General features: G+C 37.9%; 1 protein-coding gene across 5 annotated transcripts in view; it reads left to right on the top strand.

The window, feature by feature from the left end:
• ANO3 (anoctamin 3) overlaps nucleotides 1-21,678 on the top strand; it is a 474,482-nt gene that overhangs the window by 279,063 nt on the left and 173,741 nt on the right. Inside the window, exon 1 of one of the 5 annotated variants that reach the window (NM_001313727.2) lies at nucleotides 6,085-6,258. The exons of the other annotated variants lie outside the window; for them this stretch is intronic. The gene's annotated coding sequence lies outside the window, so the exon portion shown is untranslated. Of the gene's footprint in view, nucleotides 1-6,084; nucleotides 6,259-21,678 lie in introns of those variants that run through there. 5 annotated transcript variants of the gene reach the window in all.

A 21,678-nucleotide genomic window follows, 5' to 3' on the forward strand; every position in this document is an offset into this window, starting at 1 on the left:
AGGAAAGGAACATTCCCAAAAATCCATAGACTGAAGGACCTGGCCTGACTGCAAGCAAAGTTCTAGAGCAAATGAGGGGGATTCTTTTTAAGATGGTTTGGGTAAATATCGTCTTTTCTTGTTTCATGAATATGGAGAACACTGAGAACAACATTTGAAGATAATGAGGTCCTACCACCAAACTGTGTGATCCTCAAAACTAGAATCCCTCTCTCCACCAAGGAGCCACATCCCACATACCAGCTGAGGCCTCTAGATGTGGTCAATTTACAGGGATTATCTATAGTTAATCTAGGTTAGCAGGAATAAGCCTACGGTAAAGAATCCATGGCATCCGTAGTGGGCATTAGTGAAGCTCAGCTGCGTAGCTCTTTCGGTCTCAGCTGGGATATTTCACGGGTCCACCACTGTCACTTACGATGCCCAAATTAACTACAGATATTGCCATTAATGAGTCTGAGAATATTAATCTATTTTTCAGTTACAGTGACTTCACCTTTGAAAGGATATTGGGTATCAAATCAAACAGGAAGAAGGTTATAGACAAGGAAAATCTGGACATGAATATTTTAGCAGTTCATTAAAATTAGATCACAAGGCCATTCACTTTGTGTCAACTGGCATTGGCAGATGGTACTCATCTTTATCTCAATGAGTATTAGAAATAATTTTCTCTAGGACTGGAGACACTGGTCATATGATGGAGAAGGTGAGAAAGAGATAGCTTTTGTAGTCTTCTACAGCATACCTTTTATGTGGATGTCAGGAACTATTTCATTTGCCTAAATGGCTCTTTGCCTCAAATTGTGTATAGGACTTAGTATTCTGAATGTGCTACTTCCTATTTTTGTCCAGATATTGTGAGATGGTGATGACAAACTACAAGATGAATGACTAACTTGGCTCTATATGGCTGCTTTAATGGACAAGATTATACATGAAATACTAAGAGAATAAATTTTACTTCTTTTTGGGATAGTCAGTTTCTAAAGAAAATATTAATATTCATTTAACTTTAGTACCTGAAGTAACCTTTTATTTATATTATTAAGTGGTATCCTAAATATTTAATTTTCATATAAAACATGGGTTACACAGAAAATCACCTTGGCTTATTAATCTTTTTGTCCATGTTTTTAAATGTCTCTTCTTACCTAACATTAAGAAGTCTCCTTTTCAATCAGTCCAAAGTAATCTCGTCCTGTTTTCAGAGTCTTTGTATTCTCTGAAATACTGAAAAGGCATTATCCTCCCTGCAACCCTAAAAGGAATCTCCCTTCCTTGTGCCATTTAAGTACTTAGTTTGACCCTCGGAAACCTCTCTAAGTAAATGGTGAAGACTTGTTCTACATTAGCTGATTGCTAGTGTAAATTTTCCAAAAGATTTAGTACAAGAGTTTTCAGAGTTGCTTCAAATTTTCTGTAGACTGCTTAAACCTGGGTGTGTGCATGTATGTGTGTGTGCAGGCGCATGTGAGGGAGTGGTGTATATGTTATGATAAAGGTAGCATTTCACATCAGGAAATAAATATTAATCATTTAAAAACATTCAAATGTTCTCACAACAACTAGTCAATTATTTGGAAAGAGTTAAAATATTCTTAGACGACATCTCACATAACAAATGAATTACTGAAGAGCTAAAGAGGTATACTCAAACTGAATATATTGAAAACAAAGCAAAACAAAAATAAACAATTTTTCTAATGACAGAATAGAAAAATGGCCTTTTTAAGTGGACTTTTAAAATCAGTGATAAAATTAAGCATGGATAGACTTACTATTTAGATACTAAATATATCAGTGTCAAAATTCTGATAAAATCAAAAAGAGACAAGCTTAAGATGTGGTGATCAGCTCACATACTGGAAAATATATATATGCCAGAAGAATGGCTAATATTCTTAATTCACACAGATATTATAATGTAATTTATAATGTAAGAATGAAATAAATTGAAAAGCAATGTAATTTTAACATATATAACGATCAGCTGTACTATTAATTACAGAAATACAAATGTAAGCAATGTTTTTTGAAATTAGAAATTGTTTATATCAGTATTAGGTTTTGTTGTACTTTTAAACTATAAGCTATCATTTTTATTCCTTGCTGGCCAATATGTACATTGAGCCAAATTTTCTGGAAAACAATTTCACAAGGAAGGTTCAGTACCTAAAGGTAATTTTGCCCTTTGATTAGTTCTAGGAATTTATGCAGAGAATGCAATTAGAAGTTAGCCAAATTTCTGGGTGTGGTAGCTCATGCCTATAATCCCAGCACTTTGGGAGGCTGAGGAGGGCAGATAAGTAATCTGGAGTGTGAGCCCAGGAGTTTGAGAACAGGCTGAGATACACAGTGAAACCCTGTTTCTACAGAAAAAATACAAAAATGATCCGGGTATGGTGGCACATACCTGTAGTCCCAACTACTCGGGAGACTGAGGCAGGAGGATCACTTGAGCCTGAGAGGTGGAGGCTACAGTGAGCCATGGTTATACAACTGCATTCCAACCTGAGAGAGAGAGAGAGAGGGAGACCCTCTCAAAAAAAAAACAGAAAAAAAAAAAAGCAAGAAGTTAGCCCAAATAATTCTGTTTAAGAATGTTTCTCACATTGTAATTTGTGGTGGGGGAGGACCACTTCCAGAGTCAAGAGTAAATGATAACATTTAAAATAGTAATTCGTAATGCCCTCAGACAAGGCAGTACTATGTTGAAAATCTCTAAACTATTTAAGGATAATAGGACATGATCACAGTGTATAATTATATAATAAAGTGGCTGTAAAAAAATGTGCAGTATAATGCCAATTCTATAAAAATATCTAGCTGGTTTTCATGGGGAAAATATTTAGAATGATATACAAGAGATGTTTATAGTTTTTAACACCGGGTGGTAAAATTCAAAGGACATAAAACTTAAGTATTCATAGATTTAAGCCATAAATATTATAATATCATTACCTTTTTACAATCTCATACAGCTAATAAATGACTGAGCCAGGATTTAAAATAAGATAGTCTTGTTTTCCAAACAGTTTTTCCATTTTGTTACACTGGCATGACAATAGCCATTCAGGACTTCACCTTTTTTAGCCCAATAACCATGGTAAGAAGCATTTCAGTTTCTTTGTCCTAATATGCACTGATCACTTTTGCACCAGAAGCTGTGGTAAGCACTTTATATACATTATCTAATTTAAGTTTCACAATAATTCAATGACATTAGGTAGTAATACTCTCATTTTGACAAACAAGAAAATAAGGAATTAACAGAAACGTTTATTGCCCAAGTCTGTAAGCTAGGTGGAACCAGAGCTGCACTGTGGTGTGTCTCTTTAACTGTAGACTCGGCTTTTCTGTGTCCAGTTCAATCTCTGAGATATACTCTCAGATTTATCTCTTTCCAAAACCCTGAAACATTACTCTGAAGTAAGGCAGCTCTAAATTGTGTGGCTAATTTACAACCTCCTGTAACTAGATTGACCTGTTTGTAATTTATTCTTGTATCAACAAACCCCTAAGTAAAAATAGATAATTTGTTACAAATATAATATCACTAAACCTCAACAAAAGTAGTCAAATAATAGAAAGTTTCTATTCCTTAGGATCAAATAATAATAAGTAGACTAAATATTTTCAACTGAATCTATTACAGTATGGGAACTCCCCTTACCAATCAAAATATGAAATAAGCAGCAACACCACCACCATCACAAAACAAATAAAACTGCACAAAAGCTCCTACAGCTGCCAACAGTTGTGTGTAGAGCTGCAATATGTCTATAGCAGAGGGCTAGGAAGTCATGACATGAGACGATTTACCTGAGAGAATGAAATTAGGTGAGAGATGGATTTGTTGGGGTAGATGCCTTTAGTTCCCAGAAAGACTATAAGGGGAAAAAAATGTGCCTATTTAGGAAGTCGTATTTCATATATGATACAAAGAAACAAAAAATAAGTCAAAGGTGTTTTCTCTCCCCTGACACTAATGTCTCAGTAATTAAACACATAGAGGTTTCTCGAATCACCAATTTGTTTTTCCCATGAGTACTTAAGAATTTATTTTGGAAGATATATCTCCTAAGCCTCCCTGAAGGATGTTAGCTCTAAAATGAGAGCTGCAATAACTTCTCTGCAAAAAAAGTATACATAGTTTGATGGGATGTGAAAGTAAATTCAATAAATTAATGTATGGGCATTCCAGTTAAATGGTGCAGATAATGGTTCTACTTGATATTTAAACATTCAATCAATCACAGGCTCAAATCAAATAGTTCTCTAGTTGTTCAGACATGAAAGCAGCCAGAGAAGACAGATCAGAAACCGTGTTATTTGAGCATACTGAAAGTCAAATCTACCTCCTTAATCTGTCACCTCCAAGCCCTCCAGGCTGTGAACACTGGATTGGAAGTTTCAATATTAATAATAATAATGTTAAATGATTACAACAGCTAACATTTACCAGGGATCTTAACAGGGATTTTAATGACTTCTACTTTTCTATCATCACAACTCTAAAATGTAAGGTCTATTTTTACCCCCATTTCATAGGTGAGGAAATGAAGGCTTAGATGGCTACGTAACTTTCCTGTTATCACACAGCTGGTAAGGAGGAGGCAGGAATTATATACAGGGACCATGCTGTCAAGCACTGTGCTACACTGCACGTAATGGAGGTGTGTGCAAGGGACTATAGAAACCATGAGACAAGTGAATTGGGTAGTTAGGGGTCATGTTCACATTACTGGAAAATTATGTTTATTAGGCAGCATGAATATTGTGGGTTTTTTCAATGTTTTATACTTAAGAAAATATAATAAAATTGAGGCTCCTGTGCTTAGTTAGATCCTGATAAATTTTAAAACACTTGTCCCTAGCTTGCGGCTTATAGCCCTTCATCTCCCCATGTCATCTTTCTCCATGTATTTCCGCACACAGCCTTCTTAACCTCACCAGTCAATCAAAATATGAATATTTTGAGGAATTATCACTGTAGAGAAGAAAATACCTACAGAATAAAGCACTGTTGTGTTTACTGAATAGTTTCTGACACTTCTGTTTTAAAAAACTAATTCTTGTTTTGTTTGTGGTGGTTGACTTCTTGCATGATGCAAACCAGGATTCCAGATGAGGGTTTCAGTCACGGAAACCCATTTGCTTTCATTAATCCCTTCATGCCACAGACAATTTAAACCTACATATTAGAGTAATATACCATTTGTTCTTTAACTGTTTCAAACATTGTGTGAAGTTATTTTTTCTATTTCTTGAACCTGCTAGAAAATCAATTTTAAAGCATGCTTATTAACTCAAGACCATATACATTAAGTGGTTACTTCTTAGGTTCAGTGTCTTGTCAGTTCCAATTACAAGCTGCCCTACAGAGGCATTTTTAAAACAGAAATAAATGTAATCCTCTGTTGCATCTCTTATGTGGATGTTAAGTAAATGAGGACAAAAGCATTCAATTTTATTTGCTTGTTTACCTTTAGGTGACAGTTAATTCCTGTGCTCTCAGATTACAATCATATCATTATGTGCAGCTCAGAGACAATACAATGCAATGTCAAGTTGAACACAGGCAGGATTTTTCAGAAACCACAAAGCTTTCCATTATACCTTTCTCCAGTGAACAAGAAAATGAGGCAATTTCCTTTAAAACCAGAAAAAAAAATTACAGGAATTCCTGGTGAACTCCACTCCGCTATCAAAAAAGTGTTACCTAGTTCACCGTTTAAAAAGTTAGTATTTTCCAGACCACTATTATCAAACTGAAACACACCTCCCACCTCCCATGTTAATCTGCCCAGCTCAAATGGCACATACAATAGATTATTAATAATTGACAGTAAAATCATAAAAATGTCACTGACGTTATATGATTAAATGTCACTTAGGTGACTCATGCATAGACATTAACCAATGACACATGAAAGCAGCCCCCTATTCCACCCTATAACCAACTCCTAAAATGAAATTAATAAAAAATACAGATGTTCTTATAAAGAGATGAGTTATCTTTAAAAAAAAATGATTATTCAAACTCTGGCATTTAGAGAGTAGGCTAAAAACCCTCCAGTCAAATGCTTTGTGTAGCACTCAGTATGTAACATTCTAGTTAATGGAAAAAGCAGGCGGTGAAAGGGAGAACTTTCAGTTGTCACACTGAAGAGTGCTTTAAAGAAGATTGTCATTTGAGACTGTTGTCAGCAATGAAGGATTCCAAATGCAGCTGAACTCAGAATTCTGACTGTGGTATGTTTAAAAGTGCATCAATCTAGGAATTCTATACTATTTTTCTATTTTCTTAAACATATGTAGAGAAGCCAATTGAGAGAAATTAATATTGATTTCAGAATTGGAATTGAGTGTATCTGTTATTTCAAAATACTAGATATATATTTTAAAGTAAAGTATGATCTAAATGTGTTATTTTTAAAATATCTGTGTTTATCTTGCATGTAAACCAAATATCACCTCTGAAGTTTTGTCTTTTTGAATGTATTTATTGATTTCATTGAAATAATTACAGCATCTACTCTAAAATGGTTTTTTATTCAAAAACATAAAATATATTTACCTTTAAAATATTTTCAATTTTTCTTAATAATTTTATACAATATTTTTAACTGGTTTTCATCAAAATAGAAAGTCAGAAAAACATCTGAACTTAAAGGAGCATATCTCATAGTGTTAAATGTTAAAATAAATAAATCACATCAGGTACGAAGTTCACTATGATGTAAGCTAGGGAACAAAATGTTTTCAACCTGCTGTCTTTATTTTCTCACAGTTTTAAAGGTAATAAGAAACTTAATTTTGATTCAGTTCTTGTTTTGGTTTAAAAATGTCAGATGCTTCCATCGGGAAAATTTCCATTTCTACATCTATGTTAAAGATAAGATCATGTAGCATAGATAATCACTGATATGGAAATAAGTGTTCTTTATGAAAAATAAGTACTTAAATGATTTCTTATATAATATTAGAAATATAAAAATCAGTGATGAGAAAAGTTCTACTCAAATGTATTCTCTGTAAATTACTTCCACTAAGGGAATATTTAAAGTTCACATATAAAATTTAAAAATGTTTATTGTATTGAAAAACCAATAGAAAATCATAGTGTATGCTTCATCACAGACTATTCTTTTAAGAATTGGCTTTGTGTCTTCATTAGATAAACTAGAGAACCTATGATTTAAATAAAAAGTAAAAATTGGTGGAAAGAGAATAATATAAGATGGTCTAAGAAACAGCACTTAGTATAATACCATTACATAATGAAAATTCAATTAATATTTTCTTTCCTTCTTAGTTTTTTTTATTTTTTAAGTTTTGTAGAGTATTTACATTTGCTTCATGATTTTTATTCTTCCCGTGGATACATGTCTTACCATATGGTATTCAGCATCACACTTTATCCGGTTAACTAAGGTCAGATAGCTCAGGTGTTTTGGATCCAATCTGAAGTCCAATTTGAAAAAAATTAATCTAGCTTTTTTTGTAACTCTATGATGGTACATTGCTCATTGAGCCAGATTTCATAAGACACTTCATAGGAAACTATTGCTTCCCCCTTAATAACACAAAATCAATATGGGCAAAATTAATCACAGAGAAATAGAGTCTGTTAAATTACCTAGACCAATTCATTGCTTGAACCATCTTGAGAGAAATACAAACTGCAATTTTCCATACTTACACCTAATTTTAGCTAAATTAATACATACTCAGCTATCAGTATAAAAGGAGCTTCATATTTGAAAACTTTTCAAAAGTATGTGCTGCATAATTATACTTAATATTCATAAGAAATATGTATGTCTATCATAAAAGTAAATTGATAAGCAGAATTATCACTAATTATTAAATTAAAATATAAAATAAAATTATCCTTGGACTTTTCTTTCAGTAAAATGAGAGACTAAATTCAGTGATATTTAAGGTTCAAATCTCACATTCTAAGAAATTCTGGCTACATCATCTTTAAACAAAATGTGTGTGTTCCCTTCCTAAACAGATACAACAGTGGTTGCACAGCTACTGAATGTCAGGATTACCTAGAGGGCTGGTTAAAAAAATAGATAACTGGACTCCTCCCCCCAGAGCTTCTGATAACAGTAGCTTCAGTTGAGGCCTGAGAATTTGCATTTTTAAGTTTCCAGGTGATTCTGATGCTATTGGTGCAGATAGCACATTTGAGAACCATTGTCTTAATTCTCCCCTTAATATCTTCAGTGCACACTATTTTGAGAATTCACCATGTGCCAGACTCTATACTAATCTGGGTATGCATTGATGAATAAAATAGGCAAAATCCCTAAGTGTGCAAAGCTTGTAGTCTAGTGGAGGAATAAGAAAATAAGCCTACATATAATTATCTATTTGAAGTTGTCCTAAGTGGGTGCAGGGTAGAAGGGGAGTTACTTGAGTGATCAGGAAAACAGCTTCTCAGAAGGTATTAAGAGCAAGAAATGAAAGATGAGAAGTCAACAGAGGGAAAAGTGGAAGAACGTGGCATTCAAGGCAGAAGAGTGACCTATGTGAGGGCCCTGGTGTGGAAAGTATCCAGATGTGTTTGAGAAGCTATGTGCTTATATGGCAAAAACACAGAAACTGAGCACAAGGATGGCCAAGAGGAGAGGTGAGAGAGAGGTGAGCAGACACAATGCTGCAGGGGTCTATGAGGAGGAGTTTGAATTTGATTCTAAGTTTAAAGGTTTTTGGACGATCTCTGTTTTTATAAGATCACTCTGCCCCTTTGGGTGGGGAAACAATGTCGGAGGTGGGGACGACACTACAGTAATACAACTCAACAAAGGTGAAGGTGCCTGGCCAAGACTGGTTAAAGGTAAGGTGAATATATCAGACAGTTTCCCATATCAGAATGGGGAAACCATTTAGATGTCTATCTACAGAGGTGAAAGTTAGAAAAATCACACTGGAATTGATTACTTAATGACAGGGAGATGAGTCAAAGTCAAAAAAGCAGGCTAGAAAGCTGTTATAATTTTGTGTGTGTGTGTATGTGTGTGTGTGTGTGTGTGTGTGTGTGTGAGAGAGAGAGAGAGAGAGACTTTTAATACTGCTGAGGATATAGGTGATTTTTAAATTTTGTTTTGTTTCCTGCAATAAAAAATACACATTATTATAAGATTTCCAAATTCATATATTTTATTGAGTAAAACTGGCTTTACTCAATCACAAGTTGAATTTTCAATTGATTCATTTGCACATTTGTGTGTGCACAGATGCGTGCATTCCAGGTACCATATGAGAAACAGTGGATATGAAATGAATAAGACATGGTTTCCATCGTCAAAAAGTTTGCAGTTTACTGAGGACAGTAAACATAGGAGCTTCAGAAGAATGGTCCTCAGATTTTAGAATGCATAAGAATTATGCTTTATATCATTTGACAGGACTTCCAGATACCAGTGACTCCTATCATACTCCCACAGGTCTTGAATATACTGACCCTTTTCCATGCCCAGATGTATTTGTGTATGGAGTTTTCTCGACCTGGAAAGGCTGACCACCTTTCTCCATTCATGTTTTTAGGATTTAAGTCACATATCACTTCTGAATGAAGGCTTTTTCTCTTTCTCAAGACAGTTACTTCATCTTTGCTCTCATAGCACTTGCACCTCCGCCCCCTCATAGCACAAATCACACAAATTGCAATTACATGTCCTCTTATCTGTCTCCTTAACTAAATTACTCTCTTAACGGAGGGGGACAATGGATTATTTTTTCTTTGTAATTACCTTTGCATTGTGCATAGAGGCTGACTCATAACAGGAACTCAGGATAAACTTGTCAAATAAGTGAACTAATGAAAGAGAATATTAGGGAAACATTGGAATATGTAGAATAGAGTTATTAGTGTGGCCTTCAAGAGTAAAAGCACAATTCATGGAAGGGAAGGAAATCAATCTTGTCTTTAAAAATGGGCAAAATTTTTTGAGTAATTTTACTTATAAGGATTTGTGTTAATAAAACAATTGAGAGATTAACAGATATATGAACAGGGATACTCATTGCATCGTTATGAATCATAGCAAAGAATAATTTGGCAAAACAAGCTAAAATATCATTTGGTTGGAGGTAAGTAACAATACAATCATAAAACTGAATACTGTTTAGCTATTTAAAAGTGCAGTGAAACAAGGCCAATCTGCACCACTAATTCTCAAGTGTGCCATCACACAACAAGAATAAATAGGGGAATATAAAATTGTATTTCTCGCCCCAGGGAAACACTATATTGAGAGTAACGAGATCTGGTTCTGTGATTCCCTGGGCCAGCAGATCTATTCTATATGCTCTGGAGACCACCAAGCCTCAGGATCTCTTTTCTGAAAAGCAAGAAAAAGTTTGGAGAGCCCCAGTATCTCATAACCTTGATCACATGTCTATTCTTTGCACTAAAACAAGATGAAAACAACAAATCACTCTAACCTAGAATAGCCTTTGTTTTCTGGCCCACTTTAGGTCAAAGAGATAAGAGACTTTACATATTGATGTAGAGATATATGGTGGATTTTTCCTGTTTTATGCAAGCATCACTTCCTTTGTTGGCCCTCTTTCCCTACTTGAAGCTAGCCAATAGAATTCTCCCTCCTGTTGGACAGAATGATAGATACAGTAATGGACAAATTTCCCAAGCTGAATTCCACTCTGAGATGTTCTCCTAGAACTTATATAGGAAAAGATATTCCCCTCTCAGCTACAGGAAGAAAATTATTTTTAGTAGTATTACAGCAAAATATGCAGGAAGTCATCAGGCTCGGGTTGTTTCTTTACCCAAAACCTTTATGCAAGCAAAACAAAACTTAACTTGGAGGCAGTTTTGTCTGTCTTGAAAAAAAATCTAGCCTCAATCACAACCAGGCAACTAGCTGATTGGTTATATAACTAGGGGTCTCTTCTCAGACCACACATAAATGAGGCAAATGACTACGTGTAGTCATCAGGTAATTACTTTGCTTCTGTCTTCAGGCTATAAAAGCTCACTGCTTGTGCCGCTGGAGCAGAGCTCTCTGAATTTCTTCCAGTTTTATGTGTTGCCCAATTCATGAACTGTCCTTTGCTTAAATAAAGTCTGTCAAGTTCATTTTGTCTAAAAGTTTTTCAAGAGTAAGAAAGAATGAGACAGAGAAAAAAGCAAAAACAAGCATCAGAATTAAGAGATGGAGATAGAGAAGAAATATAATAGTAGAGTAAGAATCCTGACAGCTCCATTTGGATTTTCAGAACCAGCTGTTATTAAAGCTAACTAGCTCTGGACTTTTCAGAGGTAGAGAGCTGAATAATTTTGGATACATGGACTTAAAATTTTTTTGTTAGGAGAGGCTATGATTGGTTCAAATTAGATTTCTGTCATTTAGAACTGAAAGAGTCCTGATTAATATAACTACAGTATACTGTTGAATAAGAATAGATTTTTTAACAGTATGTACAGAATTCGATGTGTGTCTGTAATAGTCTGCTCTCACGCTGCTAATAAAGACATACCTGAAACTGGGTAACTTATAAAGGAAAGAGGTTTAATGGACTCACAGTTCCACATGGCTGGGGAGGCCTCATAATCACGGAAGGCAAATGAGGAGCAAAGTCACATCTTGCGTGGGGGCAGGCAGAGAGTTTGGGCAGGGGAACTCCCATTTATAAAACCATCGGATCTCGTGAGACTTATTCACTACCACGAGAACAGCATGGGGGAAACTGCCCCCACAATTCAATTATCTCCACCTGGCCCTGCCCTTGACACCTGGGGATTATTACAATTCAAGATGAGATTCAGGTGGGGACACAGCCAAACCATATCAGTGTCTATAATATATACTGCATGTCATATATCATCTATAATATATATGCACTCACGAATACAGTTAAATCTACATTTTTGAAAGGGAGGGTATAAGAGAAAGAGAACTCTAAACTTGTAATAGCAAATTATCCCTGAACTGTTATCTTTAGCAGTGCTTCCACTTTCTCTTTATTTTGTATCAATCATGCAACATTAGGAAAATAAAAGCACTGCAGGGAAAAATTAAGAGGGAGTTGAAAATGTCATCGCTAGGGGCAGAGGAAAAGGTTTGGACAGTTGGAGGAACAGTGTGAGCAAAGATATAGAGTTTGGACTAGATTGTGCATGTGCAGGGGCCAAAGCAAGAGGCATACCTGGCTACAACACCGCGTGGGAGAAATGGGCTGTAGAAGGAGTACAAGTCTGAGGACAGTAGGGATTTATATAACAGTCTCATGCAGAAACTTCTAATGCCTCATACCCACAAATACAAACTTCCGTGATATTCTTCAAACTTACAAAACACTTTCCACACTGAGCTGGGTTGAAGAGTCAGCTGACTGAGCCTCTGCTGGGGGTGCTATAACATCATTAAAACAAATTAAAAGCAGATCACCAGTTCACTGGTCTTCCATGTGTAATTCTTTAGAAAAAATGACAAAATAAACCTTTCAGTTTATGTTATAAGGGCCTGTTTGATTCTTAAGAGCAAATATGCCAGTTTTTTTTGTTTGTTTGTTTATGAAACAACATGTTCGGCTGTGGTCTTTTATGTATTTCATAGTAGTAGTAAGTTAAAAATAAAAATGAAAAATATAAAGGAATTCCAAAATTACCTGAGCAGGCCGGGCACTCATGCCTGTAATCCCAACACTTTGGGAGGCCAAGATGTGTGGATCGCTTGAGGTAAGGAGTTTGAGAACAGCCTGCCCAACATGGTGAAACCTTGTCTCTACTAAAAATATAAAAATTAGCCAGGCGTGGTGGCTCGTACCTGTAGACCCAGCTACTTGGGAGGCTGAGGCAGGTTCATCAATTGAACCCAGGAGGTGGAGTTTGCGGTGAGCTGAGTTCGCTCCACTGCACTCCAGCCTGGGCAACAGAGTGAGACCCTGTCTCAAAAACAATATAAATAAATAAATAAATAAATAAAATAATTGAGCAAATAAGTTGCCATCTTTTAGAACTTGGCCCCTGGAGTTAGAACACATGAATTTGAATCCTGGTCCTGCCACTTACATGCTATGTGACATTGGAAAATTGTTTAAATTTTCAGTACCTCTGATTGTCTATTTATAAAATGTGATTGGGATGGTTACAGAAAATAATACACACCTCAATGGGTATTTGTGAGGAATCAGTGAATGAGTATACACTGAAAAACTTAGAAAAGTACCAGCACATAGTAATTGCACCATAAAGAAAATGTATTCATATTATTACAGATGAAAAAAAAATAAGGAATTGAGACCTTAAGTGACTGCTGCAAGAACATACCACATAGTGAGTGGCAAAGCTAGCCTTTACCCACACCATAGACGATTTTATGTGAAACGGGAAGTGAGGTTGACCTTAGGGAAAGGAGAGATGATAAAAAGGATACAGGTGGTTAGAAATTCAAGGAGGAGGAGGAGAGCAAGAGAGGAGAGAGATCTGAGGGAATAAATTTATCTAATACACTGTGTGATATATAATCTTACAATCTATCCTCATTTTTCTTTACAGTAGAGGTGGAAAATTCTACTACATTCACTAATTTCCACAGGTGGGATTTTTGGGAGTGAAATTAAAAAGATGATGAAGGGAAGTTCATATATGCTATATGTTTATAACCTATAACAAAAAGACCTAAAATGTTGAATACTATAAAGGTAGTTTCTCCTTGCACAGCTAAATAAATGGTGAAATGTGTTTCAAGGAGCTTGATCATGTCTAGGATGGAGCCTATTGATAAAATTTATCTTCAAGTATTGCATGGAGATGGAAGGTGAAGAATGAAATAAAGCACCTCATAAAAATGGACTAAATGAAACAGAAAGCAAAGGGAAAGAATGTCTATAAACAAATTAGGGATCAGTTGTTGTTTTGGGAAATTTCTAAAAATCAAAGAAAACCTAAGCAACATATAAAGAATATTGACCTCCCCCATGATCTATTTCATATGTGCTCAATTCTGTCTGTAGGGTGTTTCTTTTTTCCTTTCTTTTTTTTACTTTGTTTTTGGAGACTATGTCTCACTCTTCACCTATACTGGAGTGCCGTGGTGAAATCATGGCTCACTGCAGCCTCGAAGTCCTGGGCTCAAGCATTCCACTCACCTCAGCTTCCCAAGTAGCTGGGAGCACAGGCACATGCTACCATGCCTTGCTCATTTTTTTTTTAATCTTCTCTTAGAGACAGAGTCTCACTATGTTGCCCAGTCTGGTCCCAACCTCCTGGGCTCAAGTGATCCTCCCACTGCAGCCATCCAAAGTTCTGGGGTCACAGGTGTGAGCCACTCCTCCCAGCTTTTAGTGTTTCTTTTTTTTTAATTTTATTATTATTATACTTTAAGTTTGAGGGTACATGTGCACAATGTGCAGGTTTGTTACATATGTATACATGTGCCATGTTGGTGTTTCTTGAATCATGTGGAATATGATGGAGATTAGTTTTGTGATTTGGGACTGATTTTGTTGAATACTTACAAATCTAACATTTTAATTTTTCCATTTTGCAGTAATTTGAACACAGATATATGTGTGTGTGTGTGTGTGTGTGTGTGTGTGTGTGTGTGTGTGTGTGTATCTTTAAAAAGTCCTACTTAGAAATTATCTGACTTGAGATGTTTTCACCTCTGTGTAAGGGAAATTCATAATATATATAATAGAGTTTCATTTGTATTTATTTCATTATATTGTGTAAAAGTATATTTAACATTATCTTTGTTTATTTGTATAGATTTAAGGGGTACAAGAGCAGTTTTGCTACATGGATATATTGCTAGTGGTGAAGCCTGGGCTATTAGTGTATCCATGACCTGAATAGTATACATTGTACTCATTAAGTAATTTCTCATTTCTCACTCCCCTTCTAACCTTCTGAGTCTCCAATATTATTTCACACTGTATACTCATGTGTACGAGTTATTTAGCTTGCACTTATGTGAACAGGAGATATTTGATTTTGTCTGTCTGAGTTGTTTCCCTTAAGAGAATGGCCTCCAGTTCCATCCATGTTGCCGCAAAAGACATGATTTCACTCCTTTTTATGGCTGAATATCACATTTTCTTATTTTCAGTCACCTATTGATGGACACTTGATTACCTATCTTTGCTATTGTGAACAGTGCTGCAATAAACATACTAGTGCAGGTATTTTTTTTTCAATATAATGATTTCTTTTCCTTAGGCTATATACCTAGTAATGAGAATGCTGGATCCAATGGTAGTTCCTAGTTCTTTAAGAAATCTCCACACTGTTTTCCATACAGGTAGTATTAATTTACATTCCCACCAAGAGCCTGTAAACGTTCCCTTTTCTCTGCATTCTCACCAACATCTGTTATTTTTGGACATCTAAATCTTAATATTAGTCATTATGACTTTTGTAAGATGACATCTTTTTGTGGTTTTAATTTGCATTTTTCTGATGATATGGTTTGGATTTGTGTTCCCACCCAAATCGCATGTTGAAATGTAATCTCCAGTTCTGGAGGAGGGGTCTGGTAGGATGTGATTGGATCATGGGGATGGACTTTCCCCTTGCTGTTCTCATGATAATGAGTTCTCATGAGATCTGGTTGCAAAAATGTTTGTGGCACTTTCCCCTTTACTCTCTTCCTCCTGCTCTGGCCATGTAAGACATGCTGCCTTCCTCTTTGCCTTCTACCATGATTGTAAGTTTTCTGAGTGCCCCCCTCCCACCTTGATCATGTTTCCTATACAGCCTGCAGAACCATGAGCCAATTAAACCTCTGTTCTTTATAAATTACCCAGTCTCAGATAGTTCTTTATAGCAATGCAAGAATGAACTAATACAGAAAATTGGTGCTGGGAGGTGGGGCATTGCTATAAATATACCTGAAAATGTAGAAGCAACTTTGGGGTTAATGGGCAGAGGTTGGAAGAGTGTGGAGGGCTCAGAAGAGGACAGAAAGATGAGGAAGTTTGGAACTTCCTATATACTTGTTACGTTGTTGTGACCAAAATCCTGATACTGATATCATCAATGAAGTCTAAGCTGAGGAGGTCTCAGATGGAAATGAGGAACTTATTGGGAACTTGAGTAAATGTCACTTTTGTGATGCGTTAGCAGAGTTTGGAGTCATTATGTCCCTGCTCTAGAGATCTGGAAATTTGAACTTGAGAATGATGATTTATGGTATCTGATGAAAGAAATTTCAAAGTAGCAAAACATTCAAGATGTTTCCTGGCTGCTTCTAGTAGGCTATCCTTATGAGCAAAGAGATCACATGGAACTGGAACATGTATTTAAAAGGGAAACAGAGCATAAAAGTTTGGAAAATTTGCAGCCTGACTGTGGTAGAAATGAAAAACTGATTTTCTTGGGGGGAGTTCAAGCTGGCTGCAAAAATTTGCATAAGTAAAGAGAAACCCAGTGTTATTGCCAAGACAATGGGGAAAATGCCTATACAACCTGAAGACACTGCTCCCTGCATCCCAGCCACCACAGCTCCAGCAGTGGCTAAAAGGCCCCATATATGTCTCAGGCCACTGCTCCAGCAGGTGGAAGCCACAAGTCATGGCAGCTTCCATGTGGTGTTAAGCCTGCATGTTCACAGAGGGCAAGAGTTGAGGCTTATGAGCCTCCACCTAGATTTCACAGGATATATGGAAATGCTTGGATGTCCAGGCAGAAGTCTGCTGCAGGGGTGGAGCTTTCTACTAGGGCTGTGGAGGGGAAATGTGGGGTTGGAGCCCCCACACAGAGTCCCCACTGGAGAACTGCCTAGTGGAGCTGTGAGAAGAGATCCACTGTCCCATAGACCCCAGAATGTTAAATCCACTGACAGCTTGCACCTTATACCTGGAAAAGCTGCAGGCACTCAATACCAACCCAAGAAAGCAGCCACAAGGTTTGTACCCTGCAGAGCCACTGGGGCACATATGCCCAAGGTCTTGGGAGCACTGATGAAAGCCAAGCCCTTTCATCAGTGTGGCCAAGATGTGACGTGAAGTCAAAGGAGATTATTTTGGAGATTTATGATTTAATAACTGCCCTCCTGGGTTTTGGGCTTGTTTGGGGCCTGCAGCCCCTTTGTTTTGTCAAATTTCTCCCTTTTGGAATGGGTGTGTTTACCTAATGCCTGTATCCCCATTTTATATTGGAATCAACTGGCTTGTTTTGATTTTACAGGCTCATAGGTGGAAGGAACTTGCCTTGTCTCAGATGAAACTTTGGACTGCAGACATTTGAGTTAATGCTGAAATTAGTTAAGACTTTGGGGGACTCTTGAGAAGGGACAGTTGTACTTTGCAATGTGAGAAGGACATGGGATTTGGTAGGGGCCAGGGGCAGAATGATATGGTTTGCGTGTGTGTCTCTGCCCAAATCTCATGTTGAATCGCAATTTCCAGTGTCGGAGGACAGACCTGGTGGAATGGGAATGGATCGTGGGGCAGACTTCTCCCTTGCTGTTTTCATGTTAATGAGTAAGTTCACAGAAGGTCTGGTTTTAAAAAAAAAAGTGTGGGGCACCTTCCTATTTGCTCTTTTTTTCCTGCTCTGGCCATATAAGTCATGACTCCTTCCTCTCCACCATTCTCCATGACTGTTAAGATTCCTGAGGCCTCCCGAGCCACGCTTCCTGTACAGCCTGCAGAACTGTGAACCTATTAAACCTCTTTTCTTTATGAAGTACCCAGTCTCAAGTAGTTCTTTACAGCAATTCAAGACCAGAAAAATACATCTGATGATTAGGGATGTTGAGCATTTTTTCATATGCTTGGTCCTTTGTATGACTTCCTTTTGAAAAATTCCCATTCGTGTCCTTTGCCCACTTTTTAAATCAACTCAAGATGGATCCAAGACTTAAATGAGACCTGAAACTATGAATGTACTAGAAAAAAACCTAGGGAAAAATCTTCTTGACATTGGGGTAGGCAAATAATTTATTGACTAAAACTTCAAAAGAAAAAGCAACAAAAGCAAAAATAAACAAATGAGACAAACTGAGAAATTTCTGCACAGCAAAAGAATCAACAGAGTGAACAGACAACCTGCACTATGGGAGAAAATATTTGTAAACTATGCATCCAACAGGACTGATATCCAGAATTTAAAAGGAACTCAAACAAGTCAATGAAAAATAACCTTGCCTTTTTAAAAGAAATGTGTATATCAATAAAGCAAATATTCCTTATGAAATTTATTTATTTAAAAAAAAATCACAGCCAGGCGCGATGGCTCATGCCTGTAATCACAGCACTTTGGGAGGCCAAGGCAGGTGATCATGAGGTCAGGAGTTCAAGACCAGTCTGGCCAATATGGTAAAACCCTGTCTCTACTAAAAATACAAAAATTAGCTGGATGTGATGGCGTGCACCTGTAGTTTCAGCTACTCGGGAGGCTGAGGCAGAAGACTCACTTGAACCTGGGAGGCGGAGGTTGCAGTGAGCCAAGGTCATGCCACTGCACTCCAGTCTGGGCGACAGAGTGAGACTCTGTCTCAAAAAAAAAAAAAAAAAAAGGAAGTCAAAATACCTAAAAATATACATTTTTTGTATTCTAAAACTATACATTTTTTATATTGGCTATAGCCATGTTTGAGTTTTATTTGTGATGTGACTACATTGGAAAGCAGTATTTTCAGAAACTGTAAGTGCTCTTTGGCGTGATCAAAACATTTATATGTTTGTAGGTGCAAGTTTTTGTTTTAGTTCTTCTTAGATAAGCAATTATTCCTTTGGTAACAAGAAGCTATACAAGATACTGCCTTCAAGGGATTTCTTACCCTGACATGAGATCTTAGTCCAGCGGAAACTACTGGCATCTTATACACTAAATTGGTATGTTTTCATTAATTAATGAAAAAGCCATCTTAAAGGAATGAAATAAAATAAAACCCTGGGGCAGGGAAAAATATTAGAGAAACTACCACTCTTTTGGAACCTGAACATTTGAATCTATCATCTTCATTTGATAGGGTCCTAAAGTGGTACTGGGTCAAAGCAGGCTGTTAGGAATGGAGGCTTTTAGAGGAAGAAAGGTAGCATTAACCAAACGTTTGTTGAGTACTATTTTTAAGAATCATCTCTAATGCTGTGTGCTCCTAGTCACCATTATTTAATGCAGTTGCCACTGCCCTGCAGACACTAACCTAATTTGCAAGGAGCGTTTGGTGACTTACAATTGATTGGCTTCCAAAGTCTCCAAGAAATCAGTCACAACAGTCTTTTAACCCAAACACCATTTGATATGGTTTGGCTGTGTCCTCACCCAAATCCCAACTTGAACTGTGTCTTCCAGAATTCCCACGTGTTGTGGGAGGGACCCAAGGGGAGGTAATTGAATCATGGGGGCCAGTCTTTCCCACGCTATTCTCATGATAGTGAATAAATCTCAAGAGATCTGATGGGCTTGTCAGGGGTTTCCGGTTTTGCTTCTTCCTCATTTTTCTCTTGCTGCTGTCATGTAAGAAGTGCATTTTGCCTCCCACCATAGTTCTGAGGCCTCCCTAGGCATGTGGAACTGTAAGTCCAATTAAACCTCTTTTTGTTCCCAGTTTGTGTGCCTTTATCAGCAGTTCGAAAATGTACAAATACAGTTAATTGGTACCAGTAGAGTGGCGTGTTCCTGAAAAATATCCGAAAATGTGGAAGTGACTTTGGAACTGGGTAATAGGTGGAGGTCAGAACAGTTTGGAGGGCTCATAAGAGGACAGGAAAATGTGGGAAAGCTTGGAACCTCCTAAAGACTGGTTAAGTGGCTTTGAAAAAAATGCCGATAGTGATATGAGCAATAAGGTCCAGGCTGAGGTGGTCTCAGATGGAGATGAGGAGTTTGTTGGGAACTGGAGCAAAGGTGACTCCTGTTACGTCACCAAAGAGACTGGTGGCATTTCACCCCTGCCCTAGAGATTTGTGAAACTTTAAACTTCAGAGAGATGATTTAGGGTATCTGGTGGAAGAAACGGATTCTAAGCAGCAAAGCATTCAAAAGGTGATTTAGGTGCTATTAAAAGCATCACATTTTAGGCCAAGTGCAGTAGCTCACGCCTGTAATCCCAGTACTTTGGGAGGCCGAGGTGGGCAGATCATGAGGTCAAGAGATTGAGACCATCCTGGCCAACATGTTGAAACCCCATCTCTACTAAAAATACAAAAATTAGCTGGGCGTGGTGGCACACACCTGTAGTCCCAGCTGCTGAGGAGGCTGAAGCAGGAGAATCACTTGAACCCAGGAGGTGGAGGTTGCAGTGAGCTGAGATTGCACCACTGCACTCCAGCCTGACAACAGAGTGAGGCTCCATCTCAAAAAAACAAAACAAAATAAAACAAAACAAAATCCCATTTTAAAAGGTAAACAGCATAAAAGTTCAGAAAATTTGCAGCCTGACAATGCAGTAGAAAAGAAAACCCCATTTTTTGAGGAGAAATTTAAGCTGGCTGCAGAAATTGCATAAGTAGCAAGGAGCCTAATGTTAATCCCAAGACCATGGGGAAATGTCTGCAGGCCATGTCAGAGACCTTCATGGCAGCCCCTCCCATTGTGTCCAGAATTTATTCCTTCTGGTGGGTTCTTGGTCTCGCTGACTTCAAGAATGAAGCCGGGGACCCTTGTGGTGAGTGTTACAGCTCTTAAAAATGGTGTGTCTGGAGTTTGTTCCTTCAGATGTTCAGATGCCTCCGGACTTTCTTCCTTCTGGTGGGTTCTTGGTCTTGCTGACTTCAGGAGTGAAGCCGCAGACCTTTGCAGTGAGTGATACAGCTCTTAAAGATCGTGCATCTGGAGTTGGGTGTTTGTTCCTCCCAGTGGGTTCATGGTCTCACTGACTTCAGGAATGAAGCTGCAGACCTTCGCAGTGAGTGTTACAGCTTGTAAAGGTAGTGTGGACCCAAAGAGTGAGCAGCAGCAACATTTATCATGAAGAGCAAAAGAACAAAGCTTCCACAGCCTCGAAAGGGACCCGAGCAGGTTGCTTGGCACTGCTGGCTCGGGTGGCCAGGTTTTATTCCCTTATTTGGCCCTGCCCACATCCTGATTGGTCCATTTTACAGAGTGCTGATTGGTCCACTTTATAGAGTGCTGATTGGTATGTTTTTACAGAGTGCTGATTGGTGCGTTTATAATCCTTTAGCTAGACACAGAGTGATGATTGGTACATTCACAATCCCTTAGCTAGACACAAAAGTTCTCCAAGTGCCCACCCGACCCAGAAGCCCAGCTGGCTTCACCTCTCACCATCACAGGCCCGGAGGCCCAGGAGGAAAAAGTGGTTTCGTGGGCTGGCCCAGGGACCCTGTGCTGTGTGCAGCCTAGGGACTTGGTGCCCTGTGTCCCAGCCACTCCAGTCATGGCTGAAAGGGGCCAACGTAGAGCTCAGACTGTGACTTCAGACAGTGGAAGCCTCAAGCCTTGGCAGCTTCCACATGGTGTTGAGCCTGCGGGAGCACAGAAGAATTGAGGTTTGGGAACCTCCGCCTAGATGTTAGAGATGTATGGAAATGCCTGGATCACCAAGAAAAAGTTTGTTGCAGGGGTGCAGCCCTCATGGAGAACCTCTGCTAGGGCAGTGCAGAAGGGAAATGTGGGGTTGGAGCTCCCAAACGTAGTCTCTACTGGGGCACTGCTTAGTGAAGCTGCGAGAAGAGGGCTGCCATCCTCCAGTTCCTGGAATGGTAGATCCACCAACAGCT

The sequence above is a fragment of the Homo sapiens genome, chromosome 11, assembly GCF_000001405.40.
Source record: "Homo sapiens chromosome 11, GRCh38.p14 Primary Assembly".
Lineage (NCBI taxonomy): Eukaryota > Metazoa > Chordata > Mammalia > Primates > Hominidae > Homo > Homo sapiens.